The 23,620-nt window shown below is 39.9% G+C and overlaps 1 protein-coding gene across 1 annotated transcript in view, besides 3 other annotated features; it reads right to left on the bottom strand.

Annotated features, from left to right (window-relative positions):
- Window positions 1-7,029: 7,029 nt before the first annotated feature.
- Window positions 7,030-23,620, bottom strand: part of SULT1E1 (sulfotransferase family 1E member 1) — a 39,024-nt gene continuing 22,433 nt past the window's right edge. The window contains exon 9 of the transcript XR_007057952.1: window positions 7,030-22,580. The gene's annotated coding sequence lies outside the window, so the exon portion shown is untranslated. The remainder of the gene's footprint in view (window positions 22,581-23,620) is intronic.
- Window positions 16,927-17,016: an enhancer, noted in NCBI's record as "active region_21599". NCBI's record gives its function as "activates an Ori minimal core promoter by ATAC-STARR-seq in GM12878 lymphoblastoid cells {active_cell/tissue: GM12878}" and the evidence as "EXISTENCE:reporter gene assay evidence [ECO:0000049][PMID:35858748]".
- Window positions 17,755-17,934: a silencer, noted in NCBI's record as "silent region_15467". NCBI's record gives its function as "represses an Ori minimal core promoter by ATAC-STARR-seq in GM12878 lymphoblastoid cells {active_cell/tissue: GM12878}" and the evidence as "EXISTENCE:reporter gene assay evidence [ECO:0000049][PMID:35858748]".
- Window positions 18,499-18,793: an enhancer, noted in NCBI's record as "tiled region #10246; HepG2 Activating DNase matched - State 5:Enh". NCBI's record gives its function as "activates a minimal TATA promoter and a strong SV40 promoter by Sharpr-MPRA in HepG2 cells {active_cell/tissue: HepG2}" and the evidence as "EXISTENCE:reporter gene assay evidence [ECO:0000049][PMID:27701403]".

Genomic DNA, 23,620 nt, shown 5'->3' on the forward strand with positions numbered 1-23,620 from the left:
AGATACATAATAAATTTACTGAACTTTGGAGTCAGGTGAAAAGTGCCTTAATTGCAGTGCCATTGTGTCAGGCAGGTATTGCTAACACAGGCCTCCATAACAACTGTTTCAGCACTGACTGAGTGGTTAATTTAGATATTAAAAGTTCATAGAGGCAGTGCCCTTATACAAAGGCTGGAATGTAACAAAGGCCTACCAAGAGTTTTGGCTAGGCCTTTCCTGGGCCTTGAAGCATGACAAGATAAGGAAGGCATTCTTAACAGGACCCATTTAAGATTAAACAAGCTTTATTGGGGGTCTGAAAGAAAGCCCTCAGGCCTTCACAAACAAGTTTATTGGGGGTCTGAAGGAACTCCCTAAACCTCCATGATTTAGCAAGAGACAAGGATAATCACCCAAGCACCGGGACCCATTTAGATTAAGTAAATTTACTGAGACTGCAAAGGAACGTCTTCAGGACTCAGATCTTAGTTATAGATTAAAAGAAGTTAATCACTTATGCCTTGAGATAAATTCGCACTTACATGTAGACATGTAGCTTAGAAGGTGTATAAGCTCTGGAAAAACTGTGATTTTGAGTCGATCTGGCAATAATCTCCAGACCTTCTCCCTGTAATCGGTTACAGAAATAAAAACTCCCTTCTCTCTCAGTTTATCTGCATCTGGTTATTGGGCCATGAGAATAAGCATCTCGACCCTCAGTTTGGTCCGGGAACAACATCAATTCATTGCAGCGGGAACTTAAACAAGTTCTGTAACTGCACGGATCTTCTTAACTATAAAATCAAGGGTGGCCTAATCAATACTTCCCTCCCTTAAATTATAGGTGGACCAATGAATTATTCTATCTAAATTATCTATAACAGACCACAAGTGTGAGAGAAAATGCGCATTGGGGTGGGGCAGGGTCTAGCAAAGAAATTAATGACAAAAGGTTAAGGTTAAAGAAACAAGTTTAAGGTAAGTGAAGTCTTGGAGAGATAATGAATACCTTGTGTAAAAGTTAAAGAGAGGAAAGAAACACGAAAAACCTCTTGCTTCTCAATTTCTTCATTTATAAAATAAGAGATTGAAATATATTCTGACCTAGAGCCCTTCCAAATCTATTTTTCTATGAATTTGTGACTATTTTTGAACTCAAAATCGTGGGTTAGCCATAATGAAAGTCTGGTTATGATCTACATTATGATGCTAAAAAATCTAAACCCTACAGATGAAATATAGTCAGATATATCAGATGATTTTTCAAGAGATCATATCACAGTACATTTATATTGCAATTACATATTAAAGTGTGCATACGTATATATAAGACACACTGATCAGTACATTCATTTCATTGAAAGCTTTAAATATAATTTTCTATGTATTATGGTCAATAGTTATTGAAGCATCTACCATGTGCAATGCATACACAGCTATTGCTTATTTTTGTAAGATCTGATCTCAATAAATGTGCAATTCTTAAAAATAAAAATGTTTATATGAGAAAGCTAAATGGATTCAAGTCTCACAAAATAGAAGGATACAATGATAAAAATTCAAAGAAGGAGAACATCTAATTGGGGAAACTATGAGAAACCTGAAGAATTGTGATAGCATTTGAGATCAGGTGTCAGAGATTGGAAGGAATTTCCTGAGCATAGACACTATGATCATTCGTGTAAGTGTGCAATGCATGAACAAAGGTAAAGGAGAAGAAAAGTGTGAAAAAAATGTCCAGTGTAGAGTGAGTAGGTCATATTGACTGGAGCTTACTACATAATTAGGAGTGTAGCTCATTCATTCATTGATAACGTTAATAATATCTATTAAGTGCCAACTATGTGCCAACGATTGCTCTGGCATAAGACAGAAAAGATTTTGCCTACATAAAATTTGCTTTCTGGTGGGTAATCAAAGATATGACTAAAAAATTATTTCCATTGTAGACAGTTGTGAATTTGGGGCTTCTAAGGGCTACTTAAGATTGTGAACAGAGAAATGATATGATGTGACTGCTAAGGAAATGTGAGAAAGGGTTAAGAGGGGATGAATGTAAATAAAGAAACGTGATTTTTCTCATAAACTCCCAATGCCCTTTCAATGTTGAAACACAGTATAAACAGTAAAATCCATATGTGTCTTTATTTTTATATGGTATTTGATATTTTCGACCATGTATTTTCCTTGGAACTCTCTTCTCTTGATTTCCGTGTTACCGCATTCTCAATTTCCCAAAGGAGTATTTCTATTTTATTTAGGCCAGAAATGTTATTCTTCCTTGGAGCTCCATACTTGGCTCTTTTATCTTACTTTACACACTTCCCCATGGTTTTAACAAGCATCTATAAGCTGATGCCTCAAGAATGCAGATTTATCTTTAGTTTTATTTTATGGCCTGAGTTCCAGACCTATGGAGCCAGCTACTCTTGCCCATTTTCCTCTAGAAATTCCCTGGGCATTTCAAATTCAATAACATAAATTTAACCTGTTAGCCTTACTCTCCACTGAACCAGTTCTTGTCCCAGATTCCTGTGTACTTAATATTTTAGTGAAACTATATTTACCCTATTGCACAACTCAGAAATATGGGAATAATTTTAGAATCTTGCATATTCAATTGATTCACAAATCTAGTTGCTTTATCTTCTAAGTATCCTTCAGAATAGCAACTTTTCTTCATGAAGTGGCTTAGTGGTTAAGACTGTAAGGTCTCTAGGTTCAGAGTTCATATGTTAGGTCTGCTAACCAATGTGATTCTGGACAAATCATGAACCTAGGTTTCATTTTCCTAATCTTAAAATGGAAGTAATAATTTACTTTATAGAACTCTTGTGATGAAGAAATAAGATAATGGGTTCAGTGTGTATGTTGATAAAACATAATAAATGGTAGCCATTATTAATATTATCATTATTATTGCCAAAAATAACCTGCCCTAATTTATTTCCTTACTATTACCTATCTTGTACTATGGCAAAGGTCTTAAAATTAGTCCTCCTATTCTCAAGTTTAGTTCCTCCCCTTCTCCATTGATTGAGATCAATGAGATCTTCCTAAAACCTGACCACAACACCATCATCTAAATGATAAAGTTTAAAGATCTTTACCACGGATTTTACATTCAAACTTCTCCGACTTTCCCTGTTTCCCTCTAGCACAGTTAGGCTTTAGCCTTCAGCAAGAAGGCCATATATATATATATGTGTGTGTGTATATATATATATATATATGTATATATATATATATGTATATATATATATGTGTATATATATATATATTTCTTTTTTAAGCATAGATCCGTCCCCCTCACACTAAGCTGTTGCACTTGCATGTCTCATTTTTCAAGCTAAGACCCTTAATTTCTTTGTCTACCTAGAAAACTCCTATTCATTTCTCAAATATCTTTTACAAGTCACATCCTCTGAATAGTCTTTCCAGTGGTCCACAGACAAAATGAGTTATTCTCTTTTCTCCATTTCCATATCTTGAATATGATGCTATTATTTCATATATTCCACTGTGTTATTATTACTTATTTAATCTGTTTCTCCAATTAGAGTTTAGATTTCTTGTCTTAGGATTGGGACATATATTTGACTTTCTAATTCCAAGACCTATACTTGAGGTAAATAAATGTATATTGAAATGAAATGAAATTTCTCTAGTACACTAGGTAAAACTATCAGGAATTAAGTTATTTATGTTTACCATTGTATAATAATTTTGATCATTAAGTTACCACTTTAGGATATACTGAGAAGTATTAGTAGGTGTAGTGAATTCTTATAATTTTACGTTTCTTCTGCATCCATTTGAATATAAGCCACACTTTATCATACCAGAAGCAGTAGGCACCCTTGACACAGTTTCCAATTCTCTGCCCCCCTCAGTCCCTCAGTGTGGTGACCACCTCCCTATGGGACAGCAAGAGACAACCTACTTACTCACCCCACTAATGTGCACACCCTACATGGACTGCACAGATATGCTGCAGGGACCATCTCTCAGTCACAGTGTGCACATGAAACTTGCTCTTGCTTGCCATGAACCCACCAATTAAAACTTCCTGTGGGAAACCTGCTTGGGTAAATCTCTGAACCCCACTAAAGGATTTGGCCACAACTCCCTCCCTCTTTCTCTCCCTTGCTCCCCACTTGCAGACTGAACACAAGTGTCCTGGACAGCTCCCTCCTTCCCTTTGGTGCTGTGCGGGGCATACTGCCCTCTTCTCTTTGGATCTGTAAGTAATAAACTACCTCAGTTATTTTATGTGTTTTGTTGATTTGCTACTCTGTGTCTGTCTGATTGACACACCCAAGTCTAACTTCTTTCCTAGTCAGAGCTTTCACAGATAATGGTTATCTTGGTAGGAATAAACTTGACATTGATCAGATAAGAGCCACAGGATTGTCTGCCAGTGTAAACAAATTTCCTATGAGAGAGACACCTGGTCTCAGATCAGATCCTTAAGCATTAGATTGTCCACCAGAATAAAGAAGTATCCTGTGAAAAGCACATTGTAAACATCCACATCCAAATACTCTGGAGCCCCAACAGGGCACAGCTAAATTTTATAGCCATTCTCCTGAGAGAGACCTCAAGACCAAATTTAAAAAAAGATAGACAGAGTCCCACTCAGAATGAAATTAAGATATTCTAAATGATTATTCAAAACAAACACAACAGTGCATATATTATATTTTTAATCTTCATTTAAGAATCTACTAGGTTTAGTTTTATAATCCAATTTTAAGGCTACTCTGTCAACAAGTGGCAGAGTAGATTGGATTGGAACCCAGATAGTTTGACTCCAAGGCCTGCAATCTTAATTACTATTCTATACTGTGTTGTAAACATTGAAAAGACAAAAAAATACAAGGTTACATAAGAGAAGTGCCAAACTATGGTGAGGTGGTTGGCAAAGCTATAATAAAGGCTTTTGACCATGAAATTTGGTTAAATGAAGGTACAGAAGAGTACTCTAGATTGAAAAGATAGGAAAACAGTATCATATTTGGCTCAATATCTCATACAATGAAGTACATTATAAATATATGAGAGTGTATACTCATATGTGAGGTATATACTAAAGAGCATATTAAATAACTTAGAAAAGCTGAATCACACTACCAATTTGTTTTAATAATATTTGTCCTTTAGTACTCACATATTTTACCTAATTATATAAAATGTAAAATTTAATTTGCAATCATTTCTGATGGGAGAAATTATACATTTTGAACCTTATTTCATGTGTGAAAACCATTATGAAATACATTTTAACTTGATTAATATACAGTTCTTTGTAACTTCTGAAATATGTGATTTGTGAATATATGTGATTATGGAGCACACTTTGAAGGGGAAAAATCAAATAAACATGTTTTAATATTTCCTGAATCTGGTTTAAATTTTGTATATGAGTTCAATATTCTAGATTAGCATGATTATTCCTAAAAGACTCACAACCAAAGTACGTATGGAAGAAATGTAGTCAAATTAAACTTACCTTTAAATTCCTGAGAGCTTTTAATAAATATTCTCAGATGAAGAATCAAAGAGAAAAATTCATTAAAATGATAGTGCCCTTGAGTGGTATATAACTTAATATGTGAAAGAAATTGAGTTGTTGAAAGCTCAGGAAATGTTGAAAGAAGATGATTGTTTCCCTTAGGCCTCTTCTTTGTTTACTTCTCTGAACGTGTCCCTTGAAATATAATGTCCTCTGGAGTATAATTATAAGACCTTGGGAACAATGCAACATTCCACATGTTGATAATAGTCAGGGTTAGTCTATGTTAACCTGAACAAAACTATTGACACGCATATTCATTAATGAGTTAAAATAAGCAAATATTGTACCAAAAGATATTATGTGCATTAACCATGAAAAGTGAATACTAAAGTGATAATAGTCAATTCATTATTCTCCTAAAAAGTGATATTTTTATATTCAACAGATCCTTGACATAGACAGGACAGATTTTATTAACTCCTTTTTAAATATGTAAAAACTAAAATATTTTAATAGTTGGAATGCTGTTAATTTCTGGGGCTCTTCTAGGCATAAGATTGAGAGCCTGAAAAGAGGCATTTGGGTCCAGTTCTTCCACAAACCAGCAGTACGACCCTGAGCTACATATCTCATATTGCTGAGCCATATTTTACTTGTCTAAAATAATATGAGAAATGTATAAAATGATCACTTCAGTTTGTTTTCTTTCTTTCTTTCTTTTTTGCCTTTTAGTGAATCTTTTTAAAAATTATTATTATATTTTAAATTCTGGGGTACATGGGCAAAACATACAGGTTTGTTACATAGGTATACGTGTGCCATAGTGGTTTGCTGCACCCATCAACCCATCATCTACATTAGGTATTCCTAATGCTATCCCTCCCCCACCACTCCCCAACCCCCGACCGGCCCCAATGTGTGATGTTTCCTCCCTGTGTCCATGTGTTCTCATTGTTCAACTCCCACTTATGAGTGAGAACATGTGGTGTTTGATTTTCTGTTCTTGTGTTAGTTTGCTGAGAATGATGATTTCCAGCTTCATCCACGTCCCTGCAAAGGACATGAACTCACCCTTTTTTATGTCTGCATAGTATTCCACGATGTATATGTGCCACATTTTCTTTATCCAATCTATCATTGATGGGCATTTGGGTTGGTTCCAAGTCTTTGCTGTTGTGAGAAGTGCCACAATAAACATACATGTGCATGTGCCTTTATAGTAGAATGGTTTATAATCCTCTGGGTATATACTTAGTAATGGGATTGCTGGGTTAAATGGTATTTCTAGTTCTAGATCCTTGAGGAATCACCCACACTGTCTTCCACAGTGGTTGAACTAATTTACGCTCCCACCAATAGCGTGAAAGTGTTCCTATTTCTCCACATCCTCTCCAGCATCTGTTGCTTCCTGACTTTTTAATGATCACCATTCTAACATTATACAAATCTAAGTAAAATGAATGTTCTTTGATTACTAAATTATATACTTCAATAAATCACAACAGCAGAAACAAGAAACAAATGAAGAGTTGAACAAAACACCCATTTATTGCTAGAAAATTCCAACAGAATATCATCAGTTAAAACACTGTTTTTTAATAAATCCCAATGTTTATAGAATTTATAAAAACTTAAAATTAATGCAAAACTATCCTACGTTTTTCACACAATGTTCAGCGGTTTATCACTGTAATAAATAACCCAATTTCATATCTTATGATTACAGTTTGTTTAATAGTCTGTTGATACCTAAGAATAAGGCTGTATTATTTTTCCATACACTATACCTTATAAAAAATCTTAGTTCATGTTATCAAATTTGATTGGCATAAAACATGGAGCAACATTAAGACACAGATATGAAAGGGCTGGATTTGAAGTTAGAACTATTCTTCCCTTATGCAGCCAAATTATCTGTCATTTGAATATCCTTTGCTTTTCTTCACTTTTCTCCTGTCAGTTAATACAGAAGACAGTTTCTCTATCAATGAAGATCCATGGCCATCATATCTAGATCATTCCATCCTGACAGATACTTTCATTCGTGTGTCTCTAAACTCCAATCCTTAGCAGGATGCTCTCCTTCCTAGCATGGGAACCTCAGGCTACCCAGCTGTCCCTGGCTACTTTTACGTGTGCATTAAACAATGTAACCATGGTTATATTAAAGCTATGATAGTAAATATGTTTTAATTCTAATCTCTTAGTTTCCATTTCCTATTTTCTGTCATATCAAAGAAATGTAATTTAAAGCTTTTGGGTAAATGGGAAAGAAATATTAAAAGCTCATAACCATTACATTGAGGTTTGATAATTAAATCAACAGATATTATAACTGACATATCAGAACTATATAGTTGTAATAGTTAGGTTGTTGTTAATTATGTATAGTTGCTCACTTGTGAACTATCCAGATTGAATAACTTGGAAAAGCAAGAATGGTCCTTCTATGCTCTGGATCAATATTAATCTAGCTATAGCAATGGAAAAGAACAAACATTTATACATTACTTTTTATTAAACTAATATCAATTAGGTTTTATGTAATTATTGTGATATAATTAATTCCCTCAACAATTCTGTTGTTGGTAGACAATGAAACAGATCAGGGTAACTTATTCATTTAATCCAACACCAACTTTTAAGGTAGGTACTATTATTACCATTTCACAGGTAAAGATACTGAGGCTCTAAGTTAAACCATTTGCTTAGTTTGCAGGAATAATAAATAAAGGAGACATTGGTGGCTCACACATGTAATCTCGGCACTTTTGGAGGCCAAGGCAGGAGGATGACTCGAGGCCAGGAGTTCTAGACCAGCCTGGGCAGCATAGCAAGACCCCATCTCTACACAAAATACTAAAAATTAGCCAAACGTGATGGCATGCACCTGCAGTCCCAGCTACTCGGGAGACTGAGAGGCTTAGGTGGGAAGATCATTTGAGCGTAGAAGTTTCAGGTTACAGTGAACTGTGACCATGCCAACCTGGACCCTGTCTGTAGAAAAAGAACAGAAAAGGAGTCAAGAATTACTCTAGGTTCTGTACTGCAAGATTTTTACTACTTTGTTATGGTGTTTACTGTCTACAATCACTTTTATTCATCCCCATCTTGTTTTATGGTCACTTAATTACATGGTTTGTCTTCTTTCTAGACCCTAAGTTATTTGAATGTGGAATCCATTTCTGATTTAGCTTTCCCCCTCGACCGTTGTATTTGTCATAAAGAACTGCTGTACATGGGAGATGTTTAGAAGAATATGTATTGCACAAATAAAGAAAAAAGTGAAAAAAAATGGTCCTGCAAAATTAATGTAGAGCAGAGGATAATGTTTATTTTACTTTTTACAACAAAATGGCCCTGAAAGGCCGTGCTGAGTATATCCATAATTCCCTGTGGAATTATGATGTGGTATGAGGAAATACAGCAGTTGCTTTGGTGCTATTGCTGCAGAAAAATCAGGAGGGCAAGAGAGACCTCAGGGTAAAGCAGGAGAATCTTTATTGAGTGCACTCAGACCCAGCAGACTCAACGTCCAAAGACTGGGCCCCAAACAAAGACAAGGTTTTGTTTATATACCTACTCCTAAGTGGTGTGAAAACTAATGTACAGAAGCAAGACAAAGGCACTTAATCAGGCTATGACAGGCTGATAACTCAGGTTTAGTATAGCCCTCACCATGCAGCCCAGATGGTCGTTATCTGGGCCACTATTTCAGGTACAACTAGCCTCCCATTGCAGAATTTTCACCATTCTCCTTCAACGTAGCTTCCATTTTCCTGAGCAAACTAAGCTCTTTCATTTGGAGTGTAGCTTAGGGTCTCCGAGAGGGGGATCTCTGGGAGGAGAGGCATAGTTAAGGCTTCCTCTTTAGAAGGTGGAGTCATCATTGCAGCCCACTTTGCCTTTGTGTCTGCCTTTCTATTTCCTTTAGCCTCTAATGTTCCTGCCCTCTGGTGCCACCTACAGTGCATCACTGCCACCTGCTTTGTGGCCCATACGGTGTCTAAGAGCTGTAGAATTTCTTCCTGTACTTTGTTTATTTTCCTCCAGCAGTTAAAAGTCCTCTTTCTTTGTAAATAGCCCCATGAACATGCCAAGTGGAAAAGCATATTTAGAGTCTGTGTAAATATTTGCCTTTCGGTCTTTTGCTAGCTGGAGAGCCCTTCTCAGAGCTATTAGCTCTGCTATCTGAGCAGAAGTTCCTGTAGGCAAAGACTGTGCCTCTACTACTGAGTCCAAAGTCACTACTGCATACTCCGCTCAGTGGACCCCCCCTAGAATGAAGCCGCTCCTATCAATAAAATATTCAATGTCCGGGTCCCTGAGGGTCTGATCTGTCAAATCTCTCTGGCTTGAGAACATTTCATCTACCACATCCACACGGCAATGAAGGGCACTTCCTGGCACTGACTCATTGGGGAGCAAGGTAGCTGGGTTTAGAGTATTCACAATCTCTAAAGTTATTCAGGGATTTTCATATAAGAGCCCTTGGTATTAAGTCATTCTCGGATTTGATAACCAATGGTACCCCCTTTGGTCCATCAAAGTTACACCTGAGTGCGGTACCTGGATTGTCAGTTGCTGTCCTAAAGTCAGTTCATTAGCTTCCTGTGCCAGCAGAGCAGTGGCAGATAGTGCCTTAAAACAAGGAGGCCATCCAAGTGCCACAGAATCTAACTTCCTGGATAAGTATGCCACCAGGCAGTGCCATGACCCTATGACTTGGGTTAGGATCCCTATGGCCATTCCTTTTCACTCATGGACATAGAAAAAGAAAGGCTTAGTTAGATCTGGCAGCCCTAAAGCTGGAGCCTGAGTCAAGGGTCCTTTGATTTCTTTAAAGGCCTTCTCCTGGTCAGTCTCCCAGAGGAGGAGCTCCTTTTTTCTCACTTTGTGGCTTCACATAATGGTTTAGCCATGAGCAAGAAATTTGGGATCCAGACGCAGCAGAACCCTGCTGCCCCTAGTGAGAGGTGAAGCCAGCCGGGGTTCTTGGTCGGGTGGGGACTTGGAGAATTTTTGTGTCTAGCTAAAGGATGGTAAATGCACCAATCAGCACTCTGTGTCTAGCTAAAGGATTGTAAATGCACCAATCAGCACTCTGTAAAGCACACTAATCAGCACTCTGTAAAATGGACTAATCAGCACTCTGTAAAATGGACCAATCAGCACTCTGTAAAATCACCAATCAGTGCTCGGTAAAATGAACCAATGAACAGGACGTGGGCAGGGCCAAATAAGGGAATAAAAGCTGGCCACCAGAGCCAGCAGTGGCAACCCGCTGAGGTCCCTTTCCACCCTGTGGAATCTTTGTTCTTTACCTCTTCACAATAAATCTTGCTGCTGCTCACTCTTTGGGTTGCTCTTTCGGGTCACTACTTTTAAGAGCTGTAATATTCACTGTGAAGGTCTGCAGCTTCACTCCTGAAGTCAGTGAGACCGCTAACCCACCAGGAGGAACAAACAACTCCAGATGTGCCACCTTTAAGAGCTGTAACACTCACTGCGAAGGTCTGTGGCTTCACTCCTGAAGCCAGCGAGACCATGAACCCACCAGGAGGAACAAACAACTCCAGATGTGCCACTTTAGGAGCTGTAACACTCACTGCGCAGGTCTCTGGCTTCACTCCTGAAGCCAGCAAGACCACGAACCCACCAAAAAAGAAATTCCGGGCACATCTGAACATCTGAAGGAACAAACACACAATCTTTAAGAACTGTAACACTCACCGCGAGGGTCTGTGGCTTCATTCTTGAAGTCAGTGAGACCAAGAACCCACTGAAAGGAACCAATTCTGGACACATTTTGGCAACCGTGAAGGGACAATCACCAAGTGGTGAGTAGCATCAGACCCCTTTCACTTGCTATTCTGTCCTATTTTTCCTTAGAATTCGGGGGCTAAATACCAGGCACCTGTTGGCCAGTTAAAAGCAACTAGCATGCCTGCTGGACTAAAGACACGGGTGTCAGGCTTTCTGGGAAAGTGTTCTCTAACAATCCCCGACTCTCGGAGTTGGGAGCATTGGTTTCCCTGGAACCAGTTTCTGCTTTTCCTGTACTTCTGGGCTGAGCCGAGTGTCAATAGAGAGGAAAGCCATTCAGCTCCGGGGTCCCGACAACAAGTCGGTTGACCCTGCAGCCATAAGCGAAACTCTGAAAGTCATGTCGCCTAAGTGAGACTCGCCCATCTATCCTATCTATCCTGACCCTTGCCTCCTGGGTCCTAATGCCTGTCAGACAAACTTCCTCTTGCCTCTCTTCTCCGAGGCTAGTCCCACTTCTAAAAACCACTCCCTGTTTCTGGTGCTTTTCTAGTTCCTCCTATAAGAATGATTTCTAGTGTAAACTCGAGGACTCTATTCCCTTCTTTAGGCACCCAGGCTCACTAATTGGAAAGACATAATTTTTGCCCAAAGCCCCATTGTAGGGGGTATTATCTGGAATTTTAGGGTCCCTCCTCAGACAAGCAGGCCTAACAAAAGCTATTCCTGAAGCTAGGATATGGGGAGCCTCAGAAACTGTATTCTTCCTATTCATATAAGTGAGGAAAAAAGGCGTCACTCTTCCAACCCTGGAGATTCCTTCCTTCCCTCAGGGTATGGCCCTCCACTTCATTCTGGGGACATAACATCTTTATAGGATGGGGTAAAGTTCCAATACTAACAGGAGAATGCTTAGGACTCTAACAGGTTTTCGAGAATGTGTCGGTAAGGGCCACTAAATCTGATTTTTCTCAGTCCTTTTTGTGGTCTAGGAGGACAGGCATGGGTGCAGGTTTTTGAGAATGTGTTGGTAAGGACTGCTAAATCCAACATTCCTCGGTCCTCCTTGTGGTCTAGGAGGAAAACTAGTGTTTCTGCTGCTGTGTCAGTGAGTGCAACTATTCCGATCAGCAGGGTCCAGGGACTGTTGCGGGTTCTTGGGCAGGGGAGAAACAAAGCAAAACCACAGGTGGTTTTTTCTTTCAGATGAGAAACACTCAAGCACCAACAGGCTCACCCTTGAAATGCATCCTAACTCATTGGGACCAATTTGGCCCACAAACCCTGAAAAAGAGGTGGCTTATTTTTTTCTGCACTATGGCTTGGCCCCAATATTCTCTCTCTGATGGGGAAAAATGGCCACCTGAGGGAAGTATAAATTATAATACTATCCTGCAGCTTGACCTTTTCTGTAAGAGGGAAGGCAAATGGAGCAAAATACCTTATGTCCAAGCTTTCTTTTCATTGAAGGAGAATACACAACTATGCAAATCTTGCAATTTACATCCCACAGGAGGACCTCTCAGCTTACCCCCATATCCTAGCCTCCATATAGCTCCCCTTCCTATTAATGATAAGCCTCCTCTAATCTCCCCTTCCCAGAAGGAAACAAGCAAAGAAATCTCCAAGGAACCACAAAAATCCCCCAGCTATCGGTTATGTCGCCTTCAAGCTGTAGGGGGAGGGGAATTTGGCTCAACCCAGGTACATGTCCCCTTCTCCTATTCTGATTTAAAGCAGATCAAGGTAGACCTGGGGAAGCTTTCAGATGATCCTGATAGGTACATAGATGTCCTACAGGGTCTAGGGCAAACCTTCTATCTCACTTGGAGAGATGTCATGCTATTGTTAGACCAAACCCTGGCCTTTAATGAAAAGAATGTGGCTTTAACTGCAGCCCGAGAGTTTGGAGATACCTGATATCTTAGTCAAGTAAATGATAGAATGACAGCTGAAGAAAGGGACAAATTCCCTACTGGTCAGCACGCTGTCCCCAGTATGGATCCCCACTGGGACCTCGACTCAGATCATGGGGACTGGAGTCGCAAACATCTGTTGACCCGTGTTCTAGAAGGACTAAGGAGAATTAGGAAAAAAGCCCATGAAATATTCAATGATGTCTACCATAACTCCGGGAAAGGAAGAAAATCCTTCTGCCTTCCTCAAGCAGCTACAAGAGGCCTTAAGGAAATATGCTCCCCTGTCACCTGACTCCTTCGAGGGTCAATTGATCCTAAAAGATAAGTTTATTACCCAGTCAGCCACAGATATCAAGAGAAAGCTCCAAAAGCGAGCCCTGGGCCCTGAACAAAATCTGGAGGCATTATTAAACCTGGCAACCTCGGTGTTCTATAATAGGGCCAAGAGGAACAGGCCCAAAAGGAAAAGCGAGATCAGAGAAAGGCCGCAGCCTTAGTCATGGCCCTCAGACAAACAAACTTTGGTGGTTCAGAGAGGACAGAAAATGGAGCAGGCCAATTACCCGTGAGGGCTTGTTATCAGTGTGGTTTACTAGGACACTTTAAAAAAGATTGTCCAATGAGAAACAAGCCACCCCCTCATCCATGTCTGCTATGCCAACCCCTCATTCATGTCTGCTATGCCGATGCAATCACTGGAAGGCACACTGCCCCAGAGGGCAAAGGTTCTTTAGGCCAGAAGCCCCCAACCAGATGATCCAACAACAGGACTGAGGATGCTTGAGGCAAGTGCCAGCACATGTCACCCTCACTGAGTCCCAGGTACATTTAACCATTGATGGTCAGGAAATTGTCTTCCTCCTTGACACTGGTGAGGCCTTCTCAGTGTTAATCTCCTGTCCTTGATGACCGTCCTCAATAAGGGAATAAAAGCTGGCCACCCAAGCCAGCAGCGGCAACCCACTCAAGTCCCTTTCCATGCTATGGAAGCTTTGTTCTTTCGCTCTTCACAATAAATCTTGCTGCCACTCACTCTTTTGGTCCTCACTACCTTTAAGAGCTGTAACACTCACAGTGAAGGTCTGTGGCTTCACTCCTGAAGTCAGCAAGACCATGAACCCACCAGGAGGAACAAACAACTCTGGACATGCCACCTCTAAGAGCTGTAACACTCACTGCAAAGGTCTGCAGCTTCACTCCTGAAGTCAGCGAGACCACAAACCCACCAGAAGGAAGAAACTCTGGACACATCTGAACATCTGAAGGAACAAACTCTGGACACACCACCTTTAAGAACTGTAACAGTCACTGCAAGCTTCCGTGGCTTCATTCTTGAAGTCAACAAGACCAAGAACCCACCAGAAGGAACCAATTCTGGACACACTAGGAACTCTCTTATTTGTCACCAGGTGGTTGGAGTAGGAAGTGCACAAACAGCCTGCTTCCATTCACTACCGAGCCATCTTTTCCCTTGGCTTATATAGAAGCCTAAACACTGGACACTTTCAGAGCAGATTTGAGCCTTTTTCCCTGACACTTTATATCCTGCCTTCCATAACATGTGCAGGAGTCCCCTGATAGCAGTCCTCTTGGGTTGGGGCTGCTAGAAGGAGATCATCAATGTACTGGAGCAAGACACAGTCACTGCTCGGTGAGGTGCAGTCTTTAAGATCTGAGGCCAGTGTCTCTGCAAAGATTGTGGGAGAGTTCTTAAATCCCTGTGGGAGTCTTGTCCAAGTGTACTGTGATTGACCCCACTGGAAAGCAAAAATAGTCTGACTAATCGGTGCCAGCTGGAGGCAGAAAAATGCATCCTTTAAATCTAGGACTGTAAAAACCAAGTGGCACTTGCTGGAATATGTCCCATTAAAGTATACAGGTTTGGCACCACTGGGTGGATGGTCACTATAGCTTGGTTTACCGCATGCAAATCCTGCATTAGCCTATATTCACTAGACAGCTTCCTCACTGACAAGAGAGGGGTATTCCACAGTGACTGGCATTTGACTATGATTCTATGCTTATGAAGTCGCTCTAAGTGTTTGTGGATTCCCCATATGGCCTTGGAAAGTAGTAGTGGGTACTGATGGACCCAAACCAGAGTTGCTCCTGGTTTTAAGTCCACTACAATTGGTGCCTGATTTACTGTCAGTCCAAGCAGGTTACTTTCAGCCCGAACTCTGGGAATTTTAGTAAGTAATGTGTGCATATCATTTACTCCTGCTTCCAGGGTCTTTTCTGCATATAGCCTCCATTCCTCAGCTTTCAGGACAGTAAGGGTTAACACCATAGCCTATGGGTGAGCTAGGTTTAAAGTTACATTCCCTTGCCACCCAAATGTAATCTGTGCCTGCAGGTTTTGAAGTAGGTCTCCTCCCAGCAAAGGAACTGGACAATTTGGAAGGTATAGGAATTCATGTTGGACTCCTTGTCCTCCTATTACACATCTCTTTGACCGATAGAAAGGCCTTCTTTCTGAAACTCCAATGGCTCCTACAATGGTTGCACAGTTCTTGGATAGTGGCCCTATAAGTCAGGTCACTACCAAATGCTCAGCCCCAGTATCTACCATAAAGTCCATCAACTGGCCCCCTACTTCCAAAGTGATCATAGGCTCCTGGAGGCCCAAAGAGATGGAGCCTGGTCTGTCCTAGTCCTCATATCCCTCAGCCCCTGCCAGTCCAATCAGATCAGTGGTTAGTCCTGGGTGTGGTATCCCCCTGCTGGTGGCCTTCCCATACGATGGCCCAGACCATTCTCCTTGTTATCATTCTCTGGACACTTGTCCTTCCAGTGTCCTTTCCTTTTTCACTGGGTCCATTGATCTCTTTCTAGTCTCAGCCAACTCTCAAATCCCTGTCCAGTCTGGCCTCTTCCACACCCATGTTTGTGTCCCCTTGCAAAGCCAGCTTCCCTTCCTGTAAGGGCTGCTGCCAGCAAATCAGCCTTTTTCTTAAGCCTTCAATTAGCCTCCCTCTTTGCCTCCTGATTTTGGTTAATGTACACCTTGGTGGCTACCTCAATAAGCTGAGTAGCATTCATGCTCATGAAATCTTCCATCTTCTGCAATGTTTACCTAATATTGCCCTGGGCCTGCCCTATGAATGATGTATTTACCATATGCTGATTTTGAGTAGCCTCAGGGTTGAACAGGGTGTACAACCGAAATGCCTCACAAAGTCTTTCGTAAAACTGGCTTGGTCTTTCATCTGCTCCTTGGAGCACCTCTGAGATTTTTTCCTGCATTGGCTGCTTTTCTCCCACCATTTTTTAGCCCATGCAGGATTGCCTCTCAGTACTGCTGCAGATGCTGCAGCTGGGATGCGTCATTTGGGTCCCAATTGGGGTCTGTTTCAGGGAACTGGCCCTGCGCATATGCCTGGGCATTAACTGTGTCTGCAGGAGCATTTGCTTCTAGCCACTGGAGGGCTGCCTGTGTCAGTCTCTGGCACTCTTCCATATTAAACAGTGTCAGAAGAAGCTGTTTCCAATCTGGCCAGGTTGGATTGGTTGTCTGAATAATGGACTGCATCAAGTCTATAAAAGCCTGTGGCTTCTCTGTGTAGGAGGGAGCATGATGCTTCCAGTTCATGAGATCAGTGATTGAAAAGAGCTGGTAAACAAAAGCTCACTCTGCCCCCTGGATGTGGCCATGCTCTTGATAATAGACAGGTCCTCTCATTTCCTGAAGAGCAATTTGCATGACTTGGGCACGGCCAGACCTGAGACAGCCTACCTGACTTTCTAGGCTTTCCGCCCTAACTTTCTGTAGCTCTGATTCCTCCTTCTCAGGTGAGGCTGGGAGCATGTACCCACTCGGATTTAACTCCTTGTGGGCAGCTGGGGCAGTTGGCCTCACAGATGAACCAGCAGCAAAAGCAGTTGGTCTTGGTAAAGGGGGGTTGATTGGAACCTAAGGAGGATGAGGAAATTCTGTTTCCTCCTGAGGTGCCTGTAAAACTCGTTTATCTTGCCTTTCCTGTAGCTTTTTCTTTTTCTCTGCAGCTGCCAGCATGGCTGATTTTACTTTTGGGTTCGGCTGCTTGGGCCACTAGTGTCTTACAATATGCTGCCAAACAGGGTTGCAACCATGCTGGTCAGTTTTATATAATATTGAGGCATGAATTGATATAGGGGAATTGGTCTGGTTACCCTTGCTGTCCCCCGACCCTGGTCACCACCTTAAATGCCCGGCCTATTGTCTCCCTATCTATAATATCCTCGGCCAGCCAACTGACACCAATAGAGGGCTATTCTAATTCACAGAGAGTTCTCAACCTTTGGGGGGTCAGTTTAATTCCATAATCCCCTGAAAAAACTTTCTTAAAATTATTTAACGTACATTCCAATGGAGTGGGTTTCAACAACTGTCCCCACATTTCCTCCCTTTACGATGTGCACTCGCTCTTTCTTTTCTGACCGACCAGACCGTCTCCTATTACGGGAGTTTTCAGATGCTGCTTAGCTAGGAGAGTTCCTTATTCCCACCACGGATGCTGCAGCCAGGGGGCAGCTCCTATTAGCCAGATGTGGATTGTCACTAGCCCAGGTCGGTCCCACACCGCTCGGAGCACACAGTCCACACTAAGAGATCTGTGTCTCCCCACATTACTTCCTGCGTTAGTCCCTCCCAGAACCATCTCTCACGCAGTTTCACACACTTCCCCTCTCCCAGTTCCCTTTTCTAACTGACTTAGCAATCCTCTCTCACATACCATGTCAGTTGGGGTATAAGTTTCATCTGAATTGCAGAGCCACTCTCACCTCCAGCCTCTCTGGGTCAAATTAGTGGTTATACCTCGGGAGGTGATCAAGCTCCTCTTCTGTCCTTACGGGACAGGTCCTGCCTTGAGCCCCAAAACCTTACCACAGTTCAGTAGAGCTGCTTCTGGGATTGTCCTGTAACCCCTTCCAGGTTCTGTTGCACTGTTAGGGGAGGGGCGCCGGAGAAGCAGGAGAGCCGATCTCCCCTTCAGGTTGAGGTTCTCCCAGTGGCATGCTTGGGGTAACTGATCTCCCATGGCTGGGAGCCCCAGACCCACAGGCAAAGGAGACAGCCAATCTGTCATCTCTCCCTCCTGGCTGGCGCACCAGAAATGTTGCAGAAAAATCAGGAGGGCAAGAGAGACCTCGGAGTAAAGCAGGAGAATCTTTATTGAGTGCACTCAGACACAGCAGACTCAATGTCCAAAGACTGGGCCCCGAACAAAGACAAGGTCTTGCTCATATACCTACTCCTAAGTGGTGCGAAAACAAATGTACAGAAACAAGACAAAGGCACTTAATCAGGCTATGCCAGGCATATAACTCAGGTTTAGTATACCCCTTACTATGCAGCCCAGATGGTCATTATCTGGGTTAGTTCAAAGTTCAAAGGAGTTTCACAAATACTCATCTTGCGACCCCCCCACCATGGCGTCCAGCTGGCTGTAAGCTAGACCTGCTCAGGCACGTCTGGTGACCTTTGTTACACTGCTTAGATGAAAAAGCAGGAACCTACAATCATTAACTATAGGGAAAACAAGAACTCATAACACTTACAGAGCAAGGAGCAAGATATAGTTACATAGCAGACGGCATGGGATTCGAGGGGGAAGTTTACTTACACTAAAGGAGAGATAGGAGAACTTATCTCCTCACATCTCTATATTGAGGGAGTGCTGGGAAAGTCTTCAGGGCACATCCCTTTGAGCTCTGGCCCTTAGATAACGTTATCAAAACTTTGCCTGTTACTGCCTTTGAAATGAGTCTGCCTAACACAGGCAGCTTGTTTTATTTTTTTCTTTTAATTTTTATTTTGCTTTTCTTTCTTTAATATCCTGCCTCACTATATGTGCCTAAGTACAAATTATGGTTCTGCAATTTATATGGAACCCTAGGCATGATACTTGGTTTCCTCATCTAAAACATATTATGATGTTTTAGATGAGGGATATGATACCAGTCAACATTGTTGATATGAGGATTAAAATGTAATAATATGTAAAATACCTAGTTTCATGTGGCTGCATGGTGTACACTCAACATCTTAGCATGAAAATTGTTTTCAGGCATAGAAAGCATCTCTAGTATTACAATAGAGTGGCCAGAATAGGCATGCTTTTGGAATACAATGTAATTTCCTAATAACAGACTTCTTACTTGTACAGCTAACTTAGGTAGAATTTCCACGCATGACTGAAATTGCTAAGGAACTTACTGTCTGGTTCCTTCATAAACAATTGAAGGCAAGTATCAATCTGAAATTCTGAGTAGTTTCTTATGCAATTTATACCATGCCAAGAGGTAAGTTGAGAAGCTTTGCCAACAAATAAAGGGACAGTGAAGAACATCAAAACAGATTATAAGCTTAAGTAGCACATGCCTTTTCTTGCCATTTTCCACTAATAATTTACTGAATATTAACCATAGGCAAAGTACTACCAGTTCTCTCCACTCTTTCACACTTTCACAGTCAATCTACTTGTAGGAACTTATATTCCTGCTGTTTCTATTGCTTTTCCTCCCTTTCATGGCACTAACCCATGGAGACATTGATTCTTCTCCCACCATCTCACTACTCCACTATCATTTGCAAATAATTCTATGTTAAAAGCCATCAAAGAATAATCACATTTGTTGTTAAATTTAAAGCCAATACTTTCTTTTTAATTGTATTTGCCTTCCCTATAGCATTTGACCATTTTACCACTCCATCCTTTGAAATGTTCTTTGTAGCTTAGCTTTAGTTGTACCAGTTTCTTCTGGTTTTCCTCCTTTATCTTGAAACATTTTGTTTTGGGGGATTTGTTATTAGTGACCTCATTTTCTTCTGCCCATTCCCTACATATTGGTAATTATCCAGATCCTACTCCTTCCAAGCTACAAGCCTTCTTTTCTGATAATGCTACACTTTCTCCTATATCCACTTCTACATTTAAGTCTCCTGAGCTCCAGGTTTGTATAGTAAGCTGCTTACTGGACATCTTCCTTAGATATCTCATAACATTTCAAATTTGACACATTCAAAATTGAATTCATCATTGTATCCATACCCTGCCTCAAACAAAGGGAGGAAAAGACTTCTATTTTGCTATTTTTGTCAATGACAGTCAGGCAATATTATAAACTATAACCTTGTCTTCTCTCACTTCCTTCATATTGCCTCTATTAGTCACCATGACATTTTCTGATCTATTCATGTAAACCATCACTTCAATTGCCCACTTCTTATATTCAGTGTTCATCTCAAGCTGCTGTCTTCTTTCAATTGGATAACAACAGCTTCTTAACTGCTTTATCCATTTCTTCTAATAAATGGTCCACTCTTAGGCCAGAGTGATCTTGGTAAATCACCAGTTTGTGAGAACCAATGAGTTAATTCACCTGTTTTATTCCTCTGAAGTGCTTAAAAAAAGGTGTCTATCACAGTTGTAGTAGTAACAGTAGCATCAGCAGGAGAAGAAAGTATAGAAGGAAAAAGAGCAGAAAGATATCCTTATTATAAATCTAATCCAGTGGTAATATTAATAGTAGGATCATAAAATTTACGTAAATTTCCCAATAAATATCTTGCAGTCACAGGGAAAATCGCTGTTTCTATTTCCTCATTTCTATTTCGCCCCTCATTTTCTGACAACATGGATCCTCTCCCTATACTTATCATGATACTCCACTGAATCTGCTGGTTACAAAGCTGCTGAAGAATTGTTACCATATCAAGAAGTCAAAAATTTTATATTCTTTATTAATGCTCTCAAGTTTCTTTACTATCAGGCATATGCATAACTCCATCCTTACCTCTTACTTTCTGCATCACATATTCTGAATTATATTACCCTAAACTCTTTTACCTAGTCCTTCACACATATTTTTCCCTCTGCCCAGAACATCATGCTCCATTATTGCCCAGCTGATTGCTAACTGTCCTTCAGTTTCCATATCACTTTCCCTAAGAAACTTTCCATTATTTGGGTACGTATCCTTTATGTGTTTCCAAAGCATCCTGTTGTCATGCTAAATGCATATGACTAATATTAGAGTTGATTGTTTAATTTATGTGGCATTACATTATAAATTCCATAAAAGTGGAACTGTGCGTGTCTTACTGTCTTTGCATGCTCAGCACTTAACACTTTGTCACCACTGGATCTTAAATAGAGAGAATAACTTGAACTGTTACAAAAGTGTTAGAAACAGAGAAAGATAACCATTATGTCTATTTGGAGAACTGGAAGATTCAAACTGAATTTATGATAAGTGGAGATAGAAAGGCTATGACTGGGAATGTAAGGAAGATAAAGGTGTAATAATAAACAGGAATAGTGACCAAGGTATATTATTAAAGAAAATAAATGTAGAAGATAAATATTTACTGAATACTGATTGATAGGTATGATTTCTATATCATACACTAACATTTCAAACTAATAATAATAGTTTTGAAATTCATATTATCATTAGAAATGTTCAGTTACCAAATACGTATCCTTGGGCAAATGAACTTTGTTATTGAGTAGAGGATTATTTATTTATTTATGTTATTTTTATTTTTGTAGAGACTGGGTTGTTTTGTAGAAACTAGGCTGTTTTGCCCAGGCTGGTCTCAAACTCCTGGCCTCAAGCTATTCTCCCTCCTTGGCGTCCCAGTGTGCTGAGGTTACAGACATGAGCCACAGTTCCTGGCCTAGGCTTCTTTATCTTAGCAGATTCTTCATAGAATCATTGCTATTACATCATTGTCATTGTTAAAATTTCATAAAAGGAATGATTTAACATGTAAATATGCAGTATGCTGTTTGGCATGCAAAAATTACCCAATATAGCTTAATTATTACTAAAATGATTACATTATTACCATGTATACTATCAGAATCTAGAAGTTTATTCTTTTTTCATTTCAATACTGCCTTAAAACGAAAGAAAATATATTAAATATGTTATCTTCCACATAAAGAGCCATTCTCAATCCTCCATTCAGTCCCATGTAAAAAAGAGATAATGAGTTTAAGTTTTTATACTAAAACTCTTCCTCCTAGTCAGTCTTGAGCAAGTCATTTATCTTATAAGTGTTTGCCAACTTTAGACTTTAAGTGGAGATAATTGCACTTACTTGTTTTCATCTTATAGAGACATTCTAAGGTTAAATACACCTTGTCCTTTTGTATCCTCAGGTGCAAGTGTAGTCAAGAAGTAGGATGCCATTTGCTATTAGGCAATCATTTATTCTCAAGGTCTTCTAACATAGGTATTTGGTGGTGAAGAGTTAATTATACTGTATTCCATCTGGAATCCCTGGGGCCTTATAATATTCAGAAAACAGTTCCCAGTGAAAGAGATTGGTTAGATCATTATCTTCCTTCCTGAGAGCACAAACAACTCTGATTCATAATAAATCTTCTTGCTTGTTTTGCAGTCTAAATGAAACATATTTCAAAAGTAAAACATATATCTTTGTTAAAAGTATAATTTTGCATACATGTGTTTGTGTATCTGTATTAATTTATTTTGTCTTTGTTTCTGTAATAATACTGTGTTCCTGTCATCATGCTTTTATCATGATGATATGGTTTTATCTGAAATTGTAAATTGGAGATTGAAATATAGACAATATCTAACTGTTATAAAACAATTAGCAAAAAGTTTTCTATTTTGTAAAATAACAAGTAGGTCAGGGTTGAACCAAGCATGGTAGCATGTGCCTATAGTCTCAGCTACTTGGGAAGCTGAGGTGGAAAGATGAAATAAGCCCAGGAGTTTGAGGCTGCAGTGAGCTATGATTGTGCCACTGCACTGTAGCCTGCATGACAGAGCGAGACCCTCCCTGTCTCAAAAAAAAAAAAAAATGTAGGTAGGGGTTAGATAGATGCAGAAATTACCATTTATTGAGCATCTACTATGGATCTGGGAGCAGGTTTTCACAAGGACTTTCCATGTGTGATTTTTGGATAATTTGTGTACATTGTATAGATTTTCTTTGCCATAATGTCATTATCATTAAAATGGGAATAATTTTATGTTCCATTTTATTGAAGAGTTGTGACAATGAAATGAGTAAAACATTTGGAGCAATCCCTGACACATAGCAATGATCAATAAAATATTAACAATAATAATAATTATTATTCTTATTAAGGTTTATTTGGCTTTTTCCCTGAAAGATAAGAAAAACATATTAATCAATCAAGATCTTTTTATGGAGTCAAAGAAAGTGTTTGTTTGGGATGTTCAGAAAGGATGAAGATATAACTCTATCTTCATATTTTGTTAAATGAGAGGTTAAAACTTCAACTTTAAATTCCATTATTGTACAGATTGATAAACTTGAAAATTTAAAAACTTTGCCACTTCTCAGCATTATGATTCAAACCCTAAAGACAAAAAAGAACCACATAATAGAAAATATTTTGGTTATATGAAAAATTACAAGAATCTCAAACCAGTTATACGTAAATAG

Source organism: Homo sapiens, chromosome 4, assembly GCF_000001405.40.
Source record: "Homo sapiens chromosome 4, GRCh38.p14 Primary Assembly".
Lineage (NCBI taxonomy): Eukaryota > Metazoa > Chordata > Mammalia > Primates > Hominidae > Homo > Homo sapiens.